The sequence below is a fragment of the Homo sapiens genome, chromosome 6 (genome assembly GCF_000001405.40).
Source record: "Homo sapiens chromosome 6, GRCh38.p14 Primary Assembly".
Lineage (NCBI taxonomy): Eukaryota > Metazoa > Chordata > Mammalia > Primates > Hominidae > Homo > Homo sapiens.
This window is the reverse complement of record NC_000006.12, coordinates 121,754,359-121,781,296: the sequence shown is the minus strand read 5'-3', so window position 1 is coordinate 121,781,296 and position 26,938 is coordinate 121,754,359. Positions and strand designations below refer to the sequence as shown.

Here is a 26,938-nt window from a genome sequence, read left to right as displayed (position 1 = left end):
AACATATGGAAGAAGACTGAAAAGTGGTCTTTGCTTTTTCACCTCCCAGTTATATCTTGAAATCCCCCCAACCAGGTTTGTGTTGTCATTACACAACCAAACTGCTCTTGTCTTGTCAAAGTCCCAGCAACCTCCACCTCACAACACCCAGTCACCAGTTCATTGTCTGCACCTTGCTTAATCTGTCTGAGTCATCCACAGTATCAGACACCGCTGTCTCTCCTTGGTGAAGCACCTTTCATCTCTTGGCTTTCAGGACACCACATTGTTCTGGTTTTCTCCCTTTTTCAATGGCTTCCCCTTCTGAGTCTTCTTTTCTGGTTCCTCTAACTCTGAGAAACTACATGTCAGTGATCTTCCAGGGTATAGTCCTTGGCCTTCTGTCTCTTCTGGCTTTACTCTCTCCCTAAGCAATTTCATCTCTTCTAATGGGTATAAATGTCAGCAATATGCCAGTGATTTCCAAATCTGTTTTTTTAAGCTGTAATAGTTTTAAAACAAGTCCATAAATGTTTTGACACACCTCTTACCAAAGGTGGAGTCTGATTCCCCTCCCTTTGAATAGGGGCCAGGCTTAGTAATTGACTTACTTCTAGTAAGTAGAAAGAAGCAAAAGTGACGCTGTGGGACTCCTGAGGCTAGACTGGGAAAGGTAATACAGCTTCACCCTGGTTCTGTCTCTCTTGGCATGTGCACCCTTGGAACACAACCATGTATGAGGAAACCAGGCAGCCACATGGACAGGCCATGTGTGGGAGTGCTGGCCCAGCCCCAGCAGATGGCTGATGGCCATCCCCAACCACCAGACAAGTGAGTAAGACAGGCTGCAGATCATTCCAGCTTCCAGCCTTCAAGTTGCCCCAGCTGATGCCAAATGAAGCAGAAACACGTCCCCATTAAGCCCTACTCAAATTACAGGTTTGCAAGAAAAATAAATGTTGCTGTCATTTTAAGCCACTAAGCTTCATTGGAGCGGGAGTGTTATGTGGCAGTAGGTAACCAGAGCACTATCTGGAAACTTCCTCTGTACTCCAGAACCTGCTCACTCACATCCCCATTTCAATCTATTATAGGAAATCCAACTTTATATGGCAAAAAAAGAACTCATAATTTCCCCCACAAAACTAACTCCTCCCCGTCTTCCCTAGCTTAGTCCAAGACACCACTTCATTGCTCAGGCAAAAACCTGGAAAATCATCCCTGAATAAAGCCTTTTCCTCACACTACACATCCAATCTATCAGCAAATATTGCAGTAACTACCATCAAAATATACCCCTAAGATGGCCATTTCTAAGTACCTCCCCATCACCTCTTGTAATCATCATCACCATCATCTCTTGTAATGTCTAAACTGGTACGATAGCCTTCTAAAGTGCTTACCACGTTCACCATGCTACAGTCTATTCACCGGTCAAGCATCCCCCGTGCACATGTGAATGGCTTCCACAACACTTAGGGTAATGTACAGGCCTTACTGTGGCTGACAAAGTCCCAGATGAACGGGCCTTTGCCTTCTCCTCCAATTTTATCTCCTACCACTTGCTCACTTGATTCTCTCACATTAGGTTTTTGCATTTTCAAGAGCAGATTTTGCTCATTCCTGTCCCTGACTGGCTGGGTTTTGTCTGTCTGGAAGACTCTTTCCCTCAAATATTACTCAACTGGGACACTCAGGTCTCTGCTCACACATCACTTTCTCAAAGAGGCCTTCCTCTATATGTTAAGTTCTCCATCAGCCCCTATTACTCTCTATCCCTTTGTTATTTTTTATCCTTAAAGCACTTTATAGTATCTGAAATCATATTGATTTGCTTACTGCTTGCTCTCTTCCAGATGAGATGTTAGGTTCCTTCCCACAGGGACTTTCCCTGTCCTTTATGTTTCGGTAGTCTACAGTTGCCAGAGGAGCGCACCACAGCTGTCAGCAGTCTAGATGTATCTGATAAATGGACTTTATTCAATAAAGGAATTGTTCAATCAATTAATACCTACTGCTTCATTGAATTAGTTTGCGTTAAAAATCTGTGAAGCATTTTCTTGATACTCAAGCTATTTCCATGGATGAGAAGTTGTCCTCCTTACAATGAGGCCTTCTTGAATAAATTGGCATGACTCTGGACTATTTTGAGATATTATGACTGTAATGTTACATGAAAGCCTTGGATATAATAACAATAGGAACATTAAAATATGTAATGCAGTACCAATACCATACTTTATTTTAGCCTAGGGGTTATTTATAAATTCATATGTAAAGTTTTATTGCCTGATCACACATAGTTTTCTGGTTTATTTTGTATTTTTTGTTTGTTTTGTGGTTTAGATATTGTCAAGAACTGTGAAAGGTCTGAGATTTTACCCTACTTGCAAACTACAAATTAGGTTGCCATAGATGTAGATGTGCTGGCGAAAGAAATGAGACCTGAGTGAGAGAAAAGACAGTTTATTGCTCACAGCAGTAGCAGTAGTCAAGATATCAGCATTTTATTTCACTAATTTCTTTACTCCTAATTCCCAGAGAGTGACAAAGCAAAGGCTGTAACACATGCACATGCAGTGGATTGTATTACAGAAGAGAAATCTCAAGTTTAGGAAACCTCAGTCCTTTATAATGGACTGCAAGCAAATCTGCTTAATCTTGTCTCAGAGAGAGACATTATCTTTATTAAACTGCACAAAAAACAAAACTGCCCTTTTCTCCAAAGGCAGACATTATCTGTCTTCTAAAGCTGTTTGCTTTAGCAACACCTTTGAAAGGATAGTCTGGAAAAAAAGCTGTCAGTGCCACTGCTTATAAAAACATGCAAAAATGCAAAAGACTCAAGAAAAATTGTCTCTTATTATGGACTGAAAAATGTCCTCTCAAAATTCTTGTTGAAGCCTTAACCCCTGATGTGGAGGTATTTGAAGACTGCAGCTCTTGGGAGGTAATTAGATTTTAATGGGGTTATGAGGATGGGCCCCTCATAATGGGATTAGTGCCCTTATAAAGAGAGAGTGAACCTCTCTCACTCTCTTCCCATCTATGTACAAAGAAGAGGTTATGTGAGCACCCTACAAGATGGCAGTTGCCTAAAAGCTAAGAGAAAAAGCCTCAGAATGAAACCTACCCTACTGTATTAATCTTGGACTTTCCAGACCCCAGAACTGGGAAATAAATCTCTACTGTTTAAACTACTCAGTCTGCGGTATTTTGTTACGGCAGCCCAAGCTGACTAAAACATCTCCCAACTGACATTCCCCTTGCATTGCCTTTTATTTTTTCTAAAGAAAGATTTTTTGGCCAGGCGCAACACCTGTAATCCCAGAATTTTGGGAAGCCGAGGCAGGAGGATCACTTGACCCCAAGAGTTTGAGACCAGTCTGTCCAACATAGTGAGACCCTGTCTTGTCTCTACCAAAAAAATAAATAAAACTTAGCCAAGCATGTTGACATGCTCCTGTGGTCTCAGCTACTTGGATGCTGAGGTGGAAAGATAACTGGAGCCCAGGAGGTCAAGACTGCAGTGAGCAATGATTCTACCACCGCACTCCAGCCTGGATAACAAAGTGAGACCCTGTCTCAAAAATAAAAATAAAAATAAAGAAAGGTGTTTAAAAATATATAGCTAGCTAATAAAAATATTTTGGCAGAGAACTGTCAGAATAAAAAGTGCCATTACTGCAGAAAATTAAAGCAAGACATCAAATGAAGTGATATCTCACTTTTAATTGACCGGATACTTTGTATTTTATTTATTTATTTTTAAACAAATTTATTCTTGTTAAATATCAAGAAATCTGCAAATCATATAAATCTGGTACAATGACTTATTGATGCATTAGAGACACAATCCTGTTGTTTTTCTGCTCTGCCTACCTTAGTGTTTTGGTAACTTATGGTTAAAAGCAATGATCCAGCCACAGATTTTGGTGTTGGGCAACAGAACTGAATCAGGAGTTAAAACATTGATGCCACTATTTGGTGTTAATGTCAATTTCGCCAAGCCATCTTATCTCTTTGAGCTTCCAGGTGCTGCGCTGTAAAATGACAGTAATGGTAATATTCACGAGTTATCATGAGAACCACAAAGGTGAATGTGAGTGTTGGCAAACAATGGATTTGAATAGTGAGCAGAATTGATTTCTTCACAGCATATTTATCATCTAAATTGTAAAGGAACACACAATTTAAAAATATTGCAAGGTGATGATTGTTATGTGACCAAGGAGAAACCACACATCTACAGAGTGCATAGCTGTCATTTATATATTCTCAGTTTTCAGGTTTGTGCACTGAAGTCACATTAAAGTATTTGCTACTCCAGAGAAGTGCCTTTAAATGTGAACTTCTAGGACTCTACACACACTGCCTCTCCTATTGACAATGACTTATCCCTTCAATCTACACCTGGTAATCATTCTTCAAAGACAGGTTAAGTATTGTCTCTGGAATCTCTTTCCCAGGCTTCTTGGGCCAACTGGGCTTTTCCATTGTAGTTATTATTATAATGTATCATCTTAACTTGCAGTTGAATCTATTTATCCTACTGAGTAGTGAACACTTTGATGATTAGGGATCTTATTTGATTTACCTTAGAATTCTCAATATGTAGAATTATCTAGCACTTACTGGTGTTTAAATTACACTTGCTGAAAGAAAGGGTAGAGTTTGGGGATAGGAAGATGGGGAAGAAAGAAGGAAGGGGAATTCTTCAAAATTTAAAGCCCTTTTTGAGATGTATTTATTATGCCATTATGAAAAAGAGCATGGACTCTGAAGCTAGAGGACTGAGTTGACTTCCAGCTCCATTCCCTATTAGCTGTAAACTCTGAACATATTCCTTATCTTTACTATGCCTCATATTCTTCATCTCTAAAATAAATATATTACCAGCCATTTCATAGTTTTTGTGAGGATTAAATGAATCAATATATATACAAACAACCTAGAATTTTGCGTACACTGCAGCGACCACTCAGTAAGCATTAGCCATTGTTATTAATATTGATGCACTTCCCTCTAATACCACTACCAAATAATATGTGATGACTAATCATAACTTCAGAGATTAATGATGTGTCAGTTGACATCTTTGAGGTATTTCTTGTTAAAGGTCATTTTGATCAGGTGGTCAGCCAGTTCTCATTAAGGGATGTTTGTAAAGAATATGACCATACATTTTGGGAAAGCTGTCCTTTGTTTGTAATTTAATTGTGCCCATCACTGTAGAGGATTCTCCACATTTATTTTTATTTTTGCTATGTGTTATAATACTTTTCTTGGAAAATATAACCTGCTGACGTTGAGAAAACTAAAACTCCTTATCCTTCACTGAGCTTTCCTGGAAATCGCTGTAATTTTGGAACTAATGCAAAATTCTTGGTCAGATGTTTGGTTTGACCCAATCCCTCTGATAGGAAACAAGTAAGATTTAGTGAAATTTCCAGGACTTTATCAAATCCAAAAGAATGCAGTTTATATTGTCCAGTATATCCTCCTTTCTTTACAGATGCAGAAGGCCTGTGCAGAGGCACAAAGTCTAAGACCACTTTGCCTTTTGACAAAGGCCACTTCTGGAATATAGGTTTTTCATTTCCGAGGTGCTCTCAAGCTCACAGTATGAAATGAAAATGGTCAGTTATTGATGCTACATTTTATACTGCCACTTTATTATTAAACATTTTCTCTTTCTGCTTCAGGTAAAATATTTTGTACACTGAATAAAAAGTTAAATTTTCAATATTATATAAGATGAAAACATGGTAGGAAATTTAAAAAATAGACATCACACTGAATGATTGATTTTATGATTTTGATTCTTGTCTAGTTTTTCCTAGGCATGGATAATTGAAAAAAATACATATATTTATTAACTAGATTGTTTTAGATCTTAGACTAATGCTTTGTAATACTTAAGTACTGTTTTAAGCAATCATGCTACTTACTAACACCTGCAGCCTTGATTTCATATCAGGAACCTGTATCATTTTATTTTAAATAGACCCCAATGTTCATCTTCTAATTGGTCTGGCATTGACCTGTGATGGTGCCATAAGTCTGTCATCCCCTGATGGATATCCCAGGCTGTTCCCATTCCACGTGGGGGCCCTACGGGGAAGGTAAAACGTGCTCCGTGACACTGTGACATTGTCTGGAGAAGGATGTTAATTCTTTACGATCATTCCCACGGAGAAATCTGACCCCTGTTCATCACAAACAGGAACTTTTTTTTTTTTTTTTAACCGGAAGGTAGAGTGAGAGAGGAAACATTGTTGATTTCTGGGAGAAGTGGTATTGGAAATCCAGTTTGTTGGCTCTTGGAACAATTATGGGAAGCCCCACAGAGCATGTCCTTTTTACTAGAATAATAGAAAGCACTTCCACTCCTGTGTGGAAACAGCAGTTCAAAGACAGGACAGAGTCCCTAAGCTCTGGCAGCTTTTAAATAGTGTGTGTGTGTGTGTGTGTGTGTGTGTGTGTGTGTGTGTGTGTGTGTGTGTTTCCTTTTCCCTCACTGGTAAACTGAAAGAGGACTCTCCTTGTAGGCAAACTGTGCAATATGGATTTCATTTATAAACCACCATGCTAGTTGCCTTTAGAAATTTAAAAAACTAGACTATCTGGTCCCATTTGTGTATTCAATAAATATGCAGTAACCACTTCCTCCACAATGCAGACATAATATTATAAGAAATAAGACAATTTTGCCTGCCTTCAAGAAATGTATAGTCTAGACAAACACATGAATTGAAAAGCACATCGTTCTGGAGAGCGGATAGGAAATCAAATTGCAATGAATGAGCAATCTGTCTTCTGGTATTTATGTAAGAGGAATTCTCACTAAGCTCTCCGGGGTCCATACACCAAGATGTTCAGCTCAGCCCTTTTGAAGTCAGCAATAAGTTGCAGGCAATATAGGTCTCAGTGTGGAAGCACACTGTGGGATGCTTTGCCACAGTTAGAAGCAAAGAACTAGATGTAACAAAATAACAGATATACCTTTAAAACACATAGCGCTGAGCAAGCTTAAAAGGAAGAAACAAAATAATCTATAACAATACCATACATATAAATTAAAATACATTCACACAAAGCAATGATGCCCATTTAGCAAACAAATTAAAGGATACATGGAAACACGTTAAAATGACAGCCTATGATGTGGAGGGACGTGGGAGTACAGACTGTTGAAAAAATGAATTAGATAGATAGATAGATAGATAGATAGATAGATAGATAGATAGATAGATAAATAAAATGTGTGTGGGGTCTTTGTAGACCACTGATGATTATGTGACACGAACTAATTGTGAATAACTCAATCGTCAACCAAAGTCCTAAAATGGATAAGAAGAGCAAAAACTAATTATGGTGCAAAGCAGTAAGTGTGCCTAGAATGCAAAGTTATTGCAGTCAGAGTTCATAAAATCAGCCATGGGGGATTCAGCAAAATGTCCTAGGGGAGGTAACATCAGAAAGAGTCTTAGACACTTAATCTAATAGCTGTAGCTATTTCTCCCACCACGTCCTTGCTGATCCTTGCCTTTGAATAAATTCAACTTTATTCCTAGTAAATTAATCCCTACTAATTTAAGAAGCCCTTTCTTTCAATAATATTGATGATGACTCATTTTATTCTTTACAAATTAAATGGGAAGGGTACTATTGCAAACTGGGAACCAAAAGTTCAAAGAGTAGCTATCTTTATCTTTTTATCTGGATTTATTGTATTGAGATAGAGCACACACTATTCTTAGAGACCAATCTCCTTGATTGTGGCAGCCTCTGTCTCACTCAGGGGTTCTGAGGTACAAACCTGTGCTGCATGCTGATCATCCTATTATGATTTGGTGCCCTAGGGCCAGTACATAGGCTCTTGCACTGTTTTGTTTTTGTTTGTTTGCTTGTAAGATACGACCTTTCATTTCCCTTCCAACAATCAGGTCCCTGGCTTACTCCACCGTGGTCTAGTCAAGTGAGACCCACCACTTGATTCCTTTGTATCTCTGGGATTGTGTACTACCTGGTTCTGGCCCAGAGTTTTTAGGAAATAGAATCATGTCCTGTGCCTAGCCAAGCAGCAAAGCTTCCTACCTGATGCCAACAGTTTATCATGAAAAGATTAACCTATTCTGCCTTGCTAAACCTCTCTTTTCCCCTCTCACCTTTCAACATTGGTCAATGGACAATTTCTTTCTCCCTAGTCTCCTTGTGCCTACTCTGTCTGACGGTCTGGCCTTTTCCCTGTACTGTAAGGCCAGGATGCCCCCAGAATGTAACTGATGCAGGCTTGTGGGAGAGGCTAAGTGCAAGTGATTATGCTAGGAGCTCTGAAGCCAGGCTCCCTAGGTTCAAATTCAGATGTTCAACTAACTCATTGCAGAGGAATAAGTGAGTTATTTAATTTGCATGCCTATGGGATGGGAAGAGGAATATAATATATTGGGGTTCAAGTTTTGTATAAGCATTAAAATAATTAAAATGTGCAAAGTCCTTATACCAATATCTGGCATGAAATAAGTGCTCTGGAAATGTTATCCATTCTGTTATTACCTACAAGTTTTATCCTCCCTGAGATGGCTATCTCATTGTTAACAGCTTCAGTTCTGGGCCTGGGAACCAACAGGAAAAAAAAAATTGATGACATCTCTTTTGTTTTAACTAAAAAGAATTGTTTTGGGCAGAATGAAATGTAGTATAGTGGGAAGAGCCCAGTATATGATTCCAAATGACCTAGGTCAAAGTCACAGCTGTCCCTTCCTCGCTGTGTGATGCTGAGGAAGTTTATCTGTCTTGGCCCGTTTCCCTGTTTATGGAATGGAAATAATAATGACCCCTACCTCCCAGGATAGTTGTGTGGATTCAGCAAGGTAAAGGTTGCGAAAGCCCTTTCATAAATGGTATTATTCTAGCATCTGTTATGTTGCCATTGTTATCTTTCACTTGTTTTATACCTCTAGAAACTATGTCATAATGCTTCCTGCAGAGTCAATGAAAGATAACCCCAGTTCAATATTCTAGGAACAAACTTGATCTATTATGATGGATAAGTTTCACAATTTGAATTAGCTGGCCCAATTCATTATGAGAAAAAAAAAATCAGTGTGAAAAGCTAAATACATCACTAATACATTATCTTTTAAATGTAAAAAACAGGCACCACATAGCCCACAAACACAAATTTCATTTTCTCTTTCCATTTCTCACTTTCAGTTTTTTCTTCATCAGTTAGCAGAATCAAGAGGACAGAGCAACTCAGAAAAACCAAGACGTTCTTGGAATATGTGTTGACTACATCCTTTAATGATTATAATCATCTTGGGGAGCAGGAGACATAGTATTATATCTTTTTGTAGATAAGAAACAGGAGAGTAGGGAATTTTCATCAAGATTATCTGGCTAATGGCCAGGCGCGTTGGCTCACGCCTGTAATCCCAGCACTTTGGGAGGCCGAGGTGGGCAGATCACAAGGTCAGGAGTTCAAGACCAACCTGACCAACATGGTAAAACCCCGTCTCTACTAAAAATACAAAAATTAGCCGGGTGTGGTGGCGTGCACCCGTAATCCCAGCTACTTGGGAGGCTGGGGCAGGAGAATCGCTTGAACCCAGGAGCCGGAGGCTGCAGTGAGCCGAGATCATGCCATTACACTCCAGCCTGGGTGACAGAATGAGACTTTGTCTCAAAAAAAAAAAAAGATTATCGGGCTAATTAGTGTTGAATTGAAGGTTAGAATATAGGTGGTGGGACTCTTACCCCATACTAAGAAGCAGCTCAAGATTTTTTTCTTCATAAAAATTGAGAAGAATGTATATGTATTATCCCAGATCTTTGCAATGCAATAAATAGAACACAGTCAGTGAATGTGTTTGTGTTATTTGCAGGGGAGGGGATAAAATTTTAGAGGAAGGAAAATTTTATGTAAATACCTGACCAACCTGACCAGATACAGTCTTCATCCCCCTGTAATGGAATATATTGCAATGCATTCAAGCATTTTTCCAAGTTCACTAAAATACCTTCCCCAGCTAGATCTATACCTGGAATGAATACCTTTGTCCTCTCATGCCCTGAGTCATTTTTCTCAGATGAACCTCTGAAACTTAATCAATACGGGGTAGCAGAAATGAGAATCATGACAGTTCTTTAATATGAGTCATCCATGAATGAGCCATAGTATAATGCGAACAGCCCAGAATCTGATTCCAAATGACCTAGGTTAAAGACATAAGCACTGTGTTCATTCATCTATTTAATGCCCTTTTAGTATGAGTTTCATGTATTTCCTGAGATGCTCCCATTAGAGTCTAATGAGAGAGAGGCTTTCAAGCAGCAGGACTGTTTAGAACAGTCAGGAAAAGCAGCCTGAATAAAATAAGACTATGTAAGAACCCCAAGTGTAGATGGCAACTTTCAAGAGGCCATAATAGCTGAAAGGAAAGAGTATAGTTATTATTACAGCCCTTTTTATTTCCTAACACAACCCACTAAAGATATACTCCCTTTACCTTCCTCCTGCCATTAACTCCTCAAAGTCTAAGTGGATTATTTCCTGGGGGGAAAAAGATACTTTAACAATTGCAGATTTTATTTCTAAATAAATTATTTTTAATATCAAAATGTTACTAACTTGTCTTTATCAAACCTAAGTATTTTTATGTATGTGGCAAACTTTAATTTCCAAATGCTAAATAATACCTATAAGTTCTGTGCCTGCTCTCATTCTTTTTTATAGAAATGAAATTTAAAAATTGCACATGTAGATAAATATTCTTTTGTCAGTCTATGAAGTATTGAGTCATCAAAGACCCATAACTGTATTACAGATTCAATTATCAAACTATGTTTCTCTTATCAATTTACTGAATAATGTATTGATCCAACACATTCTTGTTCAAAGTTTTGTCTAACCTTTATGTTAGTTTCCCTTTTATACATAGAGTTTTTAAGCAACCAAACTATTAAAGGTTGATTCGCTCTGTACCTGAATATTCATATACAAGAGCAATGGCAAATGATAGTTTCTTACGTTAAAAAAAAAAAAACTCATCAAGGACTCTAGAGCCAGGCCATTAGGATTCAAAGTCAGACTCTGACACTTACTAGCTATGTCACTTTGGTTAAGCTTCCGAAACTGCACCTCAATTTCCATAATTATAAACTGAGGGTAATAATAATACTATCTTATTATTATACAGAACAAATAAGCCAATATTTGGAAACCATTTTGAAAAATTCTTGACACATTCCAAGTCTTATAAGTCCTAAATAACATACATATAAATAAATTATATACACATGTATGAATATATATAACTCATTTTTATGTATGTATGCAAATATATGAATAAAGAAGACATCAAGTTTCTCAAAATGTCCCTCTGAAGTTCAAACATTCATAAACCTACAGATTTATAATTCTTAGTCTCTTTTGAAATCTGATCTTTCAAAAACTAATTACATAATACATTGAAAATTCCTGTTTGTTCGTATTTATTGTTAAACATTGAAATTTCAATTTAATTTTTACTACTAAAATATAAAACGAGTGTAAATATTATCCTTAAGAAAACTTGTATTAGACAAAACCTATATCAAAGAAGACAACTTTTAGCTAAGTTTTTAAAAAATTAGTGAAGTAACCATTGTCAATGTGGCTTAATATACAAAATATTGAAATGAGTTCCTCCAAGTTTCATATCTTTTTTATGGTACCTGTTGATCCAATGTGAAGCTAATTTCAGGTTTTCTCTCACCTTCTAAATCTATTCAGTCATTGACACTTATTGACCTTGCATCTGAAAGGTTTGAACCTATCACTTGTCCTCTAGTTCTTCTGACACTGTCGTAGTTGAGATTCTGCTCATTTCTCACATGAACTATCTCTATAACATATTCCCTCTAATCCATGCTCCATATGCTCACAATTCACCTTTTTGATACGCTGATCATGTTATTTAAAAAATTTCAATGTCTCTAAAGTACAAAATTTGAAAGCGGCTGCATAGTGAACAAAGTCACCCAAAAGCCAGCTCTAACTTACCTTTTCCTCATCGTTTTATGCCACTTTCTTCTCCTTCACGTCCCTCTCCAACCCATTAGTAGATGAAACTTGTGACCATTCCTTGAATGAGCTATGCAGCTTTTAATACCTCCATAGCTTTCATTCATGTTATTTCTTCTGTTTTTGATGCCCTCAATTTCTGATGTCTTCTTACTCTCAGTTTAGAAGATTCTCGGTTGAACTAAGCCTTTAGAGATAACTGTTTCTCTAAAGACTTCCCTTAAATCCCTTCTCAATTCCCATACCACTTTTCACATGGATTTATTATAAAAATTTATACTGTATAATTGATCGTTTATATAGGTGTGTGTGTGTGTGTGTGTGTGTGTGTGTGTGTATATATATAAAATCTTATATATATATAATCTTCCCCCACTCCTTGTAAGTTTGCAGAGCCAGGCATATCATAAAAATATTGTAACCCTAGGGCTCATACTGGCCTGGGTTGTGGTAGAAGTTTAGTCAGCATGTATGTGTGTGTGCTTGTGTGTCTCTGTGTGTTTTAATAAAGAAAATGCCACTTTTAGCTCTGAAGCTAACTGGCTGAATCTCTCTAGATGAGTCTATTAGTTTATCTTTATTCTTTAAAATGATTATGTAGGAGATTATGTAGGAGATTATGTAGATTATGTAGGAGGCCCCTTTCTGACTCTAGAATTTTATAGTTTTATAAAAGTAAAATAAAAAAATTGTAAACATACTTATAATAAAAATACTCTCTCAGGTTCAAAAGTGCAAATGTCCTTAAATACAGATAATCAAGTATTAACATCTTTCTAGCCACTTACCTAACCAAGCTAACACTAAGTGGAGATCTCTCCTTCATTATACTTAAAAATTTTTTTGAAACCCTTTCATGAACTTATTAATAAATGTGCTAAAAGGAAGGAAAAGAAGGACTATCCTGGAAAGAGGAGAGACTGAGAGCATGGAGATCAACTCTAGTACCACTTTAAATTTTCATTTGTAGGATGATTGGAGTTTTATTAGGGTACAAGTTGCACTTTGAAGGGGCCTTCTAGGGATATTAGGCTTTAAAATTTTACAGAAGGCAAACATTAATTAAACGGGATATCAGGAAAACTGATTACTAAAACACCTAGGCTTTGCAACTTACTTCTTTCTAAAGAGGCTACAGATAAAAAAAAAATGCATAACTTTTTTGTTTGTCTTAAACTAAAGATAGAAAATAAATTGTAAGGAGTTATAAATGTCCCCGATAAGACTCAGTGAAGTTTCCATTAGATTTTCCAAGATAGGATTGTTAAGATAAGATTCATAATAACAACAACAAAAAGATTTTTGCCAAACCACAATGACATTTTAGATGCAGAACTTTTTTAAAATCTTATTTTTTAATCAGATCCAAAAAATTATAAATGATAGTTCAATTCGACACAGTATTGTTAGCTATTATTGTTATCCTCAACCAAATATAACATAGCCTAATGCTGTGAAACAAAGCTAAGTTTAAGGGCATTTCTTTATATTCTTTTCTTATCTTCAAAGCATTACACTAATTACACTGAAGAATACGAAAAAACTGGAGACAAGGTCTTTGACTGTCCAAGGAAGACAAGAGTAACACACAGACAACAAATAGACAGCATAAGCAAGGCCAAAATAACATACCTCCATAACATACTCCATAAGTGCCAGGGAATACAAAGCTAAGAGCTGATCTCATAGAAGAGAATTTGGTTTGGAAGGCATCTAGGAGCCGCTAGCAAGGTCTTAGAGGAAGGAAACCTCGGGTCATGCAGCTGAGGAATGAGGGCCTTCCAGGCAGAACAGCAACCTTAGCAAAACATATCCCAAAGTAGTGTTGGACCAGATGTGTGCAGAAGCTGGGAGTAGCTTGATTCAAGTGAAGAGACTCTGAGATGTGACTTGGAAAGAGAGAACTGGCAGAGATTCACTTGGAAACATCCTTGGATAATATTAACATTTAGCCCTAGCAGGGAAGGAGAGCCAGAGTTGATACTAAACTTCTTATTTCTGCACTCCCATAATCGGAAATGTATTATGAGTTCCCTAGGGGATATTACTGCAAATTTCCATTCAGTTTAGTCTTCAAAGTTCTCTAGGAGTCTGAATATTTATTCTTGCATTTCAGACCCTTCATGATATGGTTCCAACTTACTGTTCCAGTTCCAATGCCCTACTTCTCTCCCATATAAAATTCCTACACAGCCATATTGAAATTGGGTATAGGTGAGGACATTTATTTGGTTGTATTTTGGGTAGGGGGAGGTTCAGGGGTTTTGGGCCGGGAGATTTGCACAAAGGAGAATGATTTTAAGTATTTCCGTCATTGCTACCTATTTTCAATTCTCCCTCAAATAAATATCTTCCTCACTCCTATCATTTTGTATCCACTCCATCCTTCACAGTCCAGCTGGAGTTCTGCAGTTTTCATGAAGCCTTCCCAATATCCCAACTACCCATGGTAGTTTCTCCTCTGCACACTTTTATGCTGTGCATATTGCTTGTAACACCCATTTAGTACTGAATTGCTGACTTTCATATCGTTATCTTTATGTATACAGTTTATGTGTATAGTTGTAGGTATACTCATAAATAGATAATAAACAATTAGAGGAGAGAGATTTCTTTTATATTTTTCATTTCCTACAATGACTTGTAGATATAGTGTCCAATGAAAATTAATATATTGACTTTTTAGAAAATAGGAAAATGGGACTCTGTCTTTTAGTGTTAAGCTCCTAATATATTTTTATTCCACATAAATAAGTTGAATGAATAAATGATAACAATGAAGTGAAAGAAGCACAGTCTCTGTAATCAGACAGACCTAGGTTTAAATACAGCCCTTCCCACTACAAGTTTCGTGACGACCTTGGGGATATTCTCAACCTCTCTAAGCTGTATTTTCCTCCACTGCCAATGAGGTAATAAACACGTAAATTGCAATACTGTTGCAAGATAGCACACAGAAATCATAAGTATACAGTGAATGTTCTCTATTATTAAAGTTTTTCATTCAAATTTTCCCCATTAACATTGCATGTTTATCCTTCAATGGAAAAATTTGCCCTCTGACCCGAGTAGATACCTTGTTCATTTTGGCCATTTAAAATATTTCTACATTACTGAGAATAAATACCTTATTGTTTCTCTAGAAAATGATGTCTCCCCATTCTTCCTTCAAGATGTCCCTGTTCTTTTAAGATTCATAAGACTAACCACTCACTATCCACTTACTTAGATACTGTTTCCTACTGCTAAAATAAATTAAAATGGAGATCAGGCCTGAAGAATTACTGCACAGACAAAGCCAGTAAGGCCTCATATGTAATTCAAACCTTGGATGATTTTTAAGCATAGGCATACTTAACTTGAGCTATTAATATTTCTTATAAATGCCTACATTAAAGGAAAAATGAACTTAAGCTCAACCAATCAGAAACAGCCAAAAAACTTATAAGTGTATAACTAGGGACTTTCCAATAGGGTAGACCAAATAAGGCAACTGTGTAACTGTAATCACTGTAATTAATCTTTGTTCTGTTTTTTTCTTTTTACTTCTGTGTTTGTTCTATAAAAGCCTCCCTCTTGCATTTCCTCAGTGGAGCTCCAGAACCACTTCTGGTTTGGAACTGCCCAATTTATGAATCAATGTTTGCTCAAATAAACTGTTTATATTTGTATGTGTTTCTCAGTTTCTTTTTAACACTATTTATATGCAGGCCATTTTCCCTTATTTCCTTAAAACCTGAACACCTGGCCGCTTTTCTTCCTCCCCACTACCATTACTATTATCATTTTGGAAACCCAACATCTGAGCATACCAGGTCTGTTTCTGACCCAGATGAGTGAATGGTATATACATTAGACTTTGGCACATACTATATCCAAAACACTGATCCCAAACAACTTACTCTGACCATGCCACCACTTCTTAAAATTCCAGTTGAACTATTTTAGATCTCCCGTTGCAACAGTCATCTAGTTCCACTTGCATTCCAAACTATTGACTCCACCAACTGCCCCCTTGCGCCCTCCTCACTTTTTCCCTAACCCAACACAGATTTCAGACTTCATCCCTGAGACTACTCATTTGCATACACTCTTAATTCTCTTACCCTTCTAGCCTTGTATTGTACCCTTTTGCAATACCCCAATTCAAACTAAATCTTATTCATCACCTACCAGAGCAGTTGAATACGGCTAAAGAATAATATACAATCATGCTGAAGTTTCACTTTAATTGCCCTTCTTTCTCATTCTTGCTTGTTCACCTAATGGTATTCATTTCTATTCCAGCATTCTAATTCAGGCCTGGCATTACCTTGTTTCTGCTCACCTGTGTCTCTAATGTTCTGTCTTCCTTCAATTCATTTTGCATGCCGGCTTCCATTAAATTGTTTTAATTTAACAGAAGTTAATCGAATAGTGAATGATTCTCTGCTTGGGCAGTCCCCAGAACCAGAATAGTTCAGGGTGACTCCAGGGTTGTCACGTGTTGTAGAACATTTATGAACAGAAAAAGGAAAGTGACCTGTGATGTACTGAAACAGCTAGATTTGTTACAGCTGTTTCTGTATTTGCCCTATTTGGGTGTTTGCCTTATTTGAAACTGGTTTGAAGAGCTGGTGGCCTGTAATTGGCTGAGACTTGGCTACTACTGTTTATCTTTCTGTTTCAACTTTTTATTTTAGGTTCAAGGGTATGTGTGCAGGTTTGTTACATGAGTAAATTGTGTGTTTCTGGGGTTTCCTGTACAATTGATTTTATCACCTAGGTTGTGAGCATAGTATCCAATAGGTAATTTTTCAACCCTCACTTTCCCTCCTCCCTCCTTCCTCAAGTAGGCCCTGGGGTCTATTGTTCCCACCTTTGTGTCCATGTGTACTCAATGTTTAGTTCCCACTTGTAAGTGAGAACATTCAGTATTTGGTCTTCTGTTCCTGTATTAATTCACTTAAGATATTGGACTCTGTCTCTACCCATGTTGCTGCAAAGGACATGATTTTGGTTTTTTTTAAATGGTTGCATAGTACTCTAGTGTGCATGTATGACATTTTCTTTATCCAGTCCAACATTGATGGATATCTAGATTGATTTTATGTCTTTGCTATTATGAATAGTGCTGTGATGAACATACAAGTTCATGTGTTTTTTTGATAAAATTATTTATATTCCTTTGGGTATATAGCCAGTAATGGGATTGCTGGGTGGTATGATAGTTCTGTTTTAGGTTCTTTCAGAACTCTACAAACTGCTTTTTAAAACAACTTTATCACTTTCTCATCATCACTGAAAATGTCTTTATATCTACCAACTTTTACAATTTTCAAAGTGATTTTTCTTGCGTTTTTAAATTCACTTGAACAGGTAACTTGCCAACACAAAAATCTTTAAAACATTCTTGCAGCCTAAAAGAATTTCACATGAAAGTCAAAACCTTATATAATATCTTGTCAATCAACATTTTAAATTTTAGTTTAGATGTCATCTACTGTAGATCAACAGTGATATCTCTCCGGAGCTTCTGAAGTGTATTATGTATACACACTCACATAACTGTCATATATTACATTACATTGTATATATACTTTCCTCTGCTACTAAATTATAATTTCCTAGATGGCAGGAACCATATTTGATGTATAGTTGTATCTCTCAGAGCAGCTAACAGAATAATATAACTATACCAGTGATCAGTGTATATCTGTGCTATGATTTTCTTCCTTACATTTTTATTATCAAATTTAAAATATTTGCATTAGAATGTATGACTTAAAAGTATTGTTAAAAATATTTGTTTGGGGTTATCTTCCAACTTGGTGGTTTAGATTATGGCGACTCTAACACCTAGTCTTAGGGGACTGTCTATCACAGGATCAAGGGGGCAAGCTCTGGAGCAAAACTCCCTAGGTTCAAAATATTTACTCCTCCAATTCCTGACTTCGTACCTTGGGCAAGACAGTGAACATCTTTTTTGTGTCATTTTTTCATTATTATTAACAAGGAGAGAATAATTAGCAACCACTTCATGATTTGCACCTTAGGCTCTTACTCTAGGTGCAAATGTTGGAGCTCAGTGTTATTGCCTGGAAGGTACTAGATAAGCACAAATGATTAACCAGCTCTTCATCCTCACTTTAAGGCTGACAGTTTTAAGAGTACACAATTACATACTCACAGTAGCCATAGTTCAAATTAAGCTCCTTAAAATTAAATTTATCCCCTTGAGAGTGCTCAACTATAAGCACAACTATAAGCAGATAAGATGAAATAATTATTTTTATTATATTTTAAGATCTGGGATACATGTGCAGAAAGTGCATGTTTGTTACATAGGTAAATACGTGCTGTGGAGGTTTGCTGCACCCATCAACTCGTCATCTACATTAGGTATTTCTCCTAATGCTATCCCTCCCCTAGCCCCCCATCCCCTGACAGGCCCCAGTGTGTGATGTTCCCCTTCCTGTGTCCATGTGTTCTCATTGTTCAACTCCCACTTAAGAGTAAGAACATGTGGTGTTTGGTTTTCTGTTGGTGTTGGTTTTCTGTTTCTGTGTTAGTTTGCTGAGAATGATTTAATGGTTAATATGATTTAAGGTTAATTAATATTGCTATGTGTGAATTTGATCCTGTCATTATGATATTAGCTGGTTATTTTGCCCATTAGTAGATACGGTATCTTCATAGCATCAATAGTCTCTACAATTTGGTATGTTTTTGCAGTGGCTGGTACTGGTTTTTCCTTTCCATATTTAGTGCTTCCTTCAGGAGCTATTGTAAGGCAGGCCTGGTGGTGACGAAAATCTCTCAGCATTTGCTTGTCTTCTAAAGGCTTTTATTTCTCCTTCACTTATGAAGCTTAGTTTGGCTGGATATAAAATTTTGGGTTGAAAATTCTTTTCTTAAAAATGTTGAAGATTGGCCTTCACTCTCTTCTGGCTTGTGGGGTTTCTGCAGAGAGATCCACTGTTAGTCTGATGAGCTTCCCTTTGTAGGTAACTCGACCTTTCTCTCTGGCTGCTCTTAACATTTTTTCCTTCATTTCAACCTTGGTGAATCTGATGATATGTGTCTTGGGATTGCTTTTCTTGAGGAGTATCTTTGTATGTTCTCTGTATTTCCTGAATTTGAATGTTGGCCTGCCTTGTTAGGTTGGGGAAGTTCTCCTGGATAATATCCTGAAGAGTGTTTTCCAACTTGGTTCCATTCTCCCTGTCACTTTCAGGTACACCAATCAAATGTAGGTTTCGTCTTTTCACATAGTCCCATATTTCTTGGAGGCTTTGTTCATTCCTTTTCATTCTCTTTTTTTTCTCATCTTGTCTTCACGCTTTATTTCATTAAGTTGATCTTCAATCTCTGATATTCTTTCTTCCACCTGATCAATTCAGATATTGATACTTGTGTATGCTTCATGAAGTTCTTGTGCTGTGATTTTCAGCTCCATCAGGTCATTTATGTTCTTCTCTAAACTGGTTATTCTAGTTAACAATTCCTCTGACCCTTTTCCAAGGTTCTTAGCTTCCTTGCATTGCATTAGAACATGCTCCTTTAGCTTGGCAGAGTTTGTTATTACCCACCGTCTGAAGCCTACTTCTGTCAATTCATCAAACTCATTCTCCATCCAGTTTTGTTCCCTTGCTGGTGAGAAGTTGTGATCCTTTGGAGGAGAAGAGGCATCTTGGTTTTTGAAATTTTCAGGCTTTTTGCGCTGGTTTTTCCTCATCTTTGTGGATTTATCTACCTTTGGTCTTTGATGTTGTTAACCTTCAGATGGGGTTTCTGTGTGGACAACCTTTTTGTTGATGTTGATGCTACTCCTTTCTGTTTGTTAGTTTTCCTTCTAACAGTCAGGCCCCTCTGTTGCAGGTCTGCTAGAGTTTGCTGGAGATCCACTCCAGACAGTTTGCCTGGGTATCACCAGCGGACGCTGCAGAACAGCAAAGATTGCTGCCTGTTCCTTCCTCTGGAAGCTTCATCTTAGAGGGGCACCCGCCAGATGCTAGCTGGAGCTCTTTTGTATGAGGTGTCTGTCAACCCCTACTGGGAGGTATCTCTCAGTCAGGAGGCATGGGGGTCAGGGACCCACCTGAGGAGGCAGTCTGTCCCTTAACAGAGCTCCAGCACTGTGCTGGGAGATCTGCTGCTCTCTTCAGAGCCTGTAGGCAGGAATGTTTAAGTCTGCTGAAGCTGCCTCCATAGCCGCCCCTTCCCCCAGGTGCTCTGTCCCAGGGGGGGATGGGAGTTTTATCTATAAGCCCCTGACTGGGGTTGCTGCTTTTCTTTCAGGGATGCCCTTCCCAGAAAGGAGGAACTAGAGAGGCAGTCTGGCTACAGCGGCTTTGCTGAGCTGTAATGGGCCCTGCCCAGTTCAAACTTCCCAGCAGCTTTGTTCAGGCTGTGAGGGGAAAACCGCCTACTCAAGCCTCGGTAATGTCTGACGCCCCTCCCTCCACCAAGCTGGAGCTCTCAAGTGGACTTCAGACTGCTGTGCTGGCAAGGAGAATTTCAAGCCAGTGGATCTTAACTTGCTGGGTTCCATGGGGGTGGGATCTGCTGAGCATTGGCTTCCTGGTTTCACCCCCTTTCCAGGGGAGTGAACTGTCTGTCTTGCTGGCATTCCAGGTGCCACTGGGGTATGAAAAAAAAAAGCTCCTGAAGTTAGTTCAGTGTCTGCCCAAATGGCCACCCAGTTTTGTGCTTGAAACCCAGGGCCCTGGTGGCATAGGCACCAAAGGGAATCTCCTAGTCGGCAAGTTACAAAGACCGTGGGAAAAGCGTAGTATCTGGGCTGGGATGCACCATTCCTCACGGCACAGTCCCTCCAGGGTTCCCTTGGCTAGGGGAGGGAGTTCCCCAACCCCTTGCACTTCCCGGGTGAGGCGACGCCCCAATCTGCTTCAGCTTGCCCTCCGTAGGCTGCACCGGCTGTCTAACCAGTCCCAGTGAGATGAGCCGGGTACCTCAGCTGGAAATGCAGGCATCACCCACTTTCTATGTTCATCTCGCTGGGAACTGCAGACTGGAGCTGTTCCTTTTTGGCCATCTTGCCAGCCACTGAGATAATATTTTTAATGTTAGCATTTCTTAATGGTGATTTAGAAACTTGACACAAAGATTCAACTTCTTCCCCAGGAAACAGATTAATGGATAAGTCTCTAAGGATTAAAAGCAATTAACACCAAAAAACAAATGGCTGGAAAATGATCATCCTAATCCATCAGGTTTTTAAATGGCTTCAGAAGCTTTTGTCAAGATTCCCAAGGCAAAGACCAGTCCTTCAGTGTTTACCATCAGTAAACCATATATCCATTTTTTTAACCGTTAAAAGAATTTAAAATTTTTTTGTTTTAATAGTAATAAATTATTCAATAAAACTCACATGACTAGATGCTTTACAATAATTGCTCCCAGTTTAGATTTTTAGGTTGCCTTTATGGAATTAATACCAATAAGCTACATGGACGTGTTCCTTTCACAGAGCTGCTGTTTGGAAAACTGAGAAAATTCACATTGTTTTTCCTTCTGATTCTAGAGTAATACTAAAGTATCTGCTTTTGTTAATGTGTCCCTCAGCCAACCAGAAGGGAGAATATTTCAGCCTCCTACGCTGAGGTTATATAGCCTCTAAGTGAGGGGCATGGTTAGACTGACCTCAAACTAAACAAAACTATAACAGGTTTTAAGAGAAAAAGGAAGTGGAATATGCTGTGTACCATTTCAGTCTAGAAACAAAAATAAGGAAGTGGGATGGCCCAGAAAAGAAATTCCCAAACATTTTTTGGCAATGCAACACCTTTTTGTTATTTGATTATGTGATAAGTTTTTTCCTGTCTCTACCAGCTCCTTTCTCATGTCCTAGGGGGAAAAAATGTATAGTAAAATATATAATAAATTTGACATTTAGATTCAACCAAAGCTATTTTGGTCTGAAAAACTGTATGAATTTTGAATAGTAATTGAAAATGCCTTTGGATGTTGTAAAGCCAAGACCAGAAATTAATATTCAATAATCAGAGATTTATGGTGGAAATATTTTTGAGCTGGTGTTTATTTCACTGAAAAGAAAGTGAAATTGTATCTCCCTGTCTTTCTACCTGTTCTTCCCTTCCTTCCTTCCCAATTCTTAAGGTAAATACCAATTCCTTCTTCAAATAAAAAGCCAGGCCACAGTCATGTGAGAATCTCTCAGTGGCCCATCCTTTGAGTAAGTGCTGGTTAAGGTTAAGGCCATAGCACTTTTAGGGGCTGTATTAGTCCATTCTCACACTGCTATAAAGAAATACTTAAAACTGGGTAATGTATAAAGAAAGGAGGTTTAATTGGCTCACAGTTCCATTGGCTGTACAAGAAGCATGGCTGGGGAGGCCTCAGGAAACTTTCAATCATGGCAGAAGGTGAAGGGGAAGCAAGCATGTCTTACATGGCTGGAGCAGGAGAAAGAGAGAGAAGGGGGAGGTGCCACACACTTTTAAACAGCCAGATCTCATGAGAACTCACTCATCATGATGAGAACAGCAAGGAAGAAATCTGCACCCATGATCCCATCACCTCCCACCAGACCCCTTCTCCAACATTGGGGATTATAATTCGACATGAAATTTGGGTGGGGACACAAATCCAAACCATATCAGGCTGATGGGGTCAGTAAAGCACTTGGTAAGTATACACAGTGGCTCAGCATCTATGATGCCCTTTAAATAATAGAAATACATATATGGTACATCCATATTCCTATATAAAGATTAAGCCATATCATCCACAATTGCAAAAACAGTGTAGATCTATTCTGAAGTGTACTGATGTCTTTTTGTGTCTACAAATATCATTATTAACAAAAATTTTATATTTGTATATAAGGTCATTTATGCCCTAGAAGATTTCATACCCACTATGCTTAGAAAGAAAGAAATATACATAAGGAGAGAAATAGCAACACAAAGTGAGGTAGGATACTGACTCCTAACAGCGTGTGATGCAGGAATTAAAGCGAGCACTAATAGCTGAGTTGTAATATTTACAAATGATAGGTTCCTGTACGTGTGTGTGTCTGTGTGTGTGTATAAAATATATATATTATATGTATGAATAAAATGTATGTGTAATATATATAGTGTATTTTACGTCCATTCCAATTAGCAAGCTTTTATTAAGTGGCTAAGTTGAATGTTGCATGTACTTCGGAGGCACCAAAAGAAGGAGGCCTGGTGGAGCTCTGGCTCCTGGTTAATCTCTCCCAGCACCTTCTGGATTCATATTAAAGGAACACACAATCAAAGTATAAAAACAGTGTGTTTTGCTGTGCTATCATTGCTGAATAGAGGTTCATTTTCAGGCAGGTCTCGGACCTAAACCACTTGTTTAGAAACTCTGTAGTTTGTATCCCTGGGCCCAAGATGCACGAAGATGAAGAAGACATGATCTTCCTTCAAGGAATTTGTTTTGAATTTTCCTGTCAACACATACATGGGGATTTAGTTCGTTGCTCATAGGGAAAACATCATGTCAGGGGATAGTCTCTAAGAATTGTATACAATTTCTGTAATGAGAACACATCACTGAGACAAATAATAATAATAACTCAGCACAATGGGTCTCTTGAACACATGCACATGGTCTCAGGAGCTCAGTTGTACATAAACTGTATAAGCCTCACCTTTATCATGCCTTGGTTCTCAGAACCAAAGTGATCTTGATTTCAAGGTCACTTTCTATTCATTCAGCAACATTGCACTTTAGAATAATTTATTATTAGATGAGAATGTCTCAATTTCTTGCTCTCAATAGGTACTGAAGTTGTTAGAATCATCCATTATTTGCCATTTAAGCTTCCTCATATAAATCCACACAGCAAAATGCAGTTTGTTTATTTCTTGTAATGGATTGTCTGTGTCATCTCCAGAAATGAACAATTAATAATATTGAGGTCTCAGGCTCAGGTTTGTGTATTCTTAACTGTGTGCATGTATCATATTCTTTAGTAAATATGCTTTCAAAAATATCATGGCTAGTCTGTCAAGAGTCTACTCCAAAAGATCACTGAGCATCACTCTGATGCTCCTTAAGACCCACTTTATCCTAGACCAGCCCAGGCAGAGTTGCCACTCATTACCCCTGTTCACTCCATCCCTAGAAAACTCATTTAACTTGCAAATTCAAAATAAATACTTGCAAACTAGATAGATACTATTATTGGCTTCAAAAAAGATGATTACATTTTTATCAATCCAAAATCTTTTGTACACCGGCTTAGTCTTCTGCCTTAAAATCTCTTTAAAAAACAAATGGGCCTAATTCTTCCCTCAGATCTAACTAAAGCCAGCACAGCACAAATTCCAGTTGCCATTGGAAAGGATTTAAATGGAGATGGCCCTTTACTCAGTCTTTCTTAGTGGATTATACCACAGAAATCTTCCAGGGCCAAATTTAAAACATATTTGTTTTAGACTCTGCCAAGTTGGGTATTATTTTGCAATTTTAGTGCTTTTTTTTTTATTTCTCTGTAGAAGTGTTTTTCTGTCTTCACCCTTTTACTTCTTTCTGTCTCTAATATCTATTTTCAGCAAAGACAGTGAAAAAGGATAGGAAATTCAAAGTGGTTCTGCTTTTGTTTCAAAATATTACAGCTATTTCTATAAAAACCATTCAAAAGCTTCCAACATTATTACCCATCTTACCCCATTGTTATGGGCACAATAATATTGTTTATAGAATTATTAAAAGTATCCTAAGAAGTGAATCATGTAATAGTTGGTGGTTGGAAGTATGTATCCCTATCTGTAGCAATTTTAATAACTTTGCACTTGCTAACCTGGCACTACCCAAAATCTGTCATAAAGACAACATAGCCCTCCTTTGAAGTTACATCATTTCTTCTCAAAGGATTAATAGCACTTTCATAGTTTTTGTTTTATTGGATTCTTTATCTTATGAGATCAGCAAATGTAAATTGCTCTTAAATGTAAAGGTTACTCCTGGCCTGGTGAATATCGAAGCAGAGTCAAGTGATTTGTGCTCCCAAACACATTTACCAGAAGTGGAGGATGCCCATGTGCTAGCAGCCTGAAAGTCCAAACTCTCTATCAGCGTGGTAAAATTTGTTTCACATCAAACCTCAATTTTCAGTCCTGGGCTAATTGAAGTCTATCAGATAGCACATTAGATGACTAATGGCCCATTCCTAAAATGAAGGCCTACCCAACAGTTTCATTTATAAAGCTCCTTTAGGAATTCACTCAAAGGACATCTGATAGCTCTCATTAAGCTATGCTTAAAATTCTCTGAGGAACATCATTTCCTACCTGTACTTTAAATTAAAACCTTTAGGAACTCTATGATAGTAACCTCACACTGGGTGCCAACAGTGGTCCAGCACCATGCTGAGAACTTCACAGGCACTGTTTCACTGGATCACCTCAGCTGCTGTGAGGTTGATATTATTTTCCCTGTATCATGGCTTTAGAAGCCTTATAGAAAGCTTCAGTAACTTATTTTCATATATTTCATCATGTTCACAAAGAGTTCATAAACTCTTCCTGGGAGTTTCCTCACTTGCATCATGGGAACAATAATACTTACCTCATAAAACTTAAAATCTTGTTCTCATCAATCAGGAAGCAATCCAAAGATTGACAAAGAGTAAACTAGAAGTAAATGTGAAGAAATATTTTTTTCCAATGGGTTTATGGAAATTTATTTCAGTATGTCAGCCTCCAAATTCAGCTACGGATTTTAAAAAGGATGTGTGGTCCAAACTGCTCTTTAAGAACTAGCCTAAAAATCACCTTCCAGATCAACTTATAATAGCATTTAATGTACATCAGAGTCCCACTTAAAATCTATTATCTCTTTTTTTTTTTTTTTGAGAGGAGTCTCACTCTGTCACCCAGGCTGGAGTGCAGTGGTGCGATCTCGGCTCACTGCAAGCTCTGCCTCCTGGGTTCATGCCATTCTCCTGCCTCAGCCTCCCGAGTAGCTGGGACTACAGACGCCTGCCACCAGGCCCGGCTAATTTTTTGTAGTTTTAGTAGAGACGGGGTTTCACCATGTTAGGCAGGATGGTCTCGATCTCCTGACCTCGTGATCCGCCCGCCTCGGCCTCCCAAAGTGCTGGGATTACAGGCGTGAACCACCGCGCCCGGCCTATCTCTTTTTGGTTTGAACTTGCACAGCTCATAGCAAAAGTACCACATTTTAAAGGCTTATGCTGGAGCAACCAAAAGCACAAGAAGGAGAACAAAATTCTGCAAGAAATTACTGCCTGAAAAAAAATGAACATCATGAGCAACGGGCTCTATACCTATCCTCATCATGGCCTCATTTGTAACCAAAGGCAAGTCACTCCAACCTACGTGGGTCTCAGTTTTATGAGAAAGTGATTGACTAGAGAATGCTACTCAAAGTTTTTTCAATTTCTCTAAGTAATTTTTCTTAGGTGATTGAAAGGAGACAGTAGCCAGGCCATCATAGAGGGGCATCAGTCAGCATGAGGGGTGAATCTTTTCAGTGTAGAAGTAAAGCACATGTCCCGGAAGACAAGTCCACATGAGTTTAAAGACTTGGCATAGCACCTCTAAATGATGGGGAGGAATGCATTTTAGTTTTTTCACTTCTATTTATACACATAAGTAGTAACATCTTTAAGAGTAACACTTCAGAATTCTTATGAAGAATATATAAAAGACTATTTGTGATTTTGAAGACAATATTTGAAGAAAATGTACATTGTTGTCAGATTGTCTTAAATCAATGTTTAACTATCTTTGGCAAAGGGAAAATTGTGAATAACATGGTATGCAGCTGTGTATGGAAAAACTAAAAATGGAACTGTAATTGGGTCCTAAATTGGAAACACATCTGAGTTTTGTTAACAATTTGAGAGTGATATTAACTTGTTTT

At 38.0% G+C, this 26,938-nt stretch overlaps 1 long non-coding RNA gene across 2 annotated transcripts in view; it reads right to left on the bottom strand.

The window, feature by feature from the left end:
- The window catches only part of LOC105377979 (uncharacterized), a 288,164-nt gene extending 274,246 nt beyond the window's left edge, over positions 1 to 13,918 (bottom strand). For both annotated transcript variants that reach the window (XR_942936.3, XR_942937.4), the window contains exon 1: positions 13,682 to 13,918. This is a non-coding gene — a long non-coding RNA (uncharacterized LOC105377979). The remainder of the gene's footprint in view (positions 1 to 13,681) is intronic.
- Between the last annotated feature and the right edge of the window lie 13,020 nt (positions 13,919 to 26,938).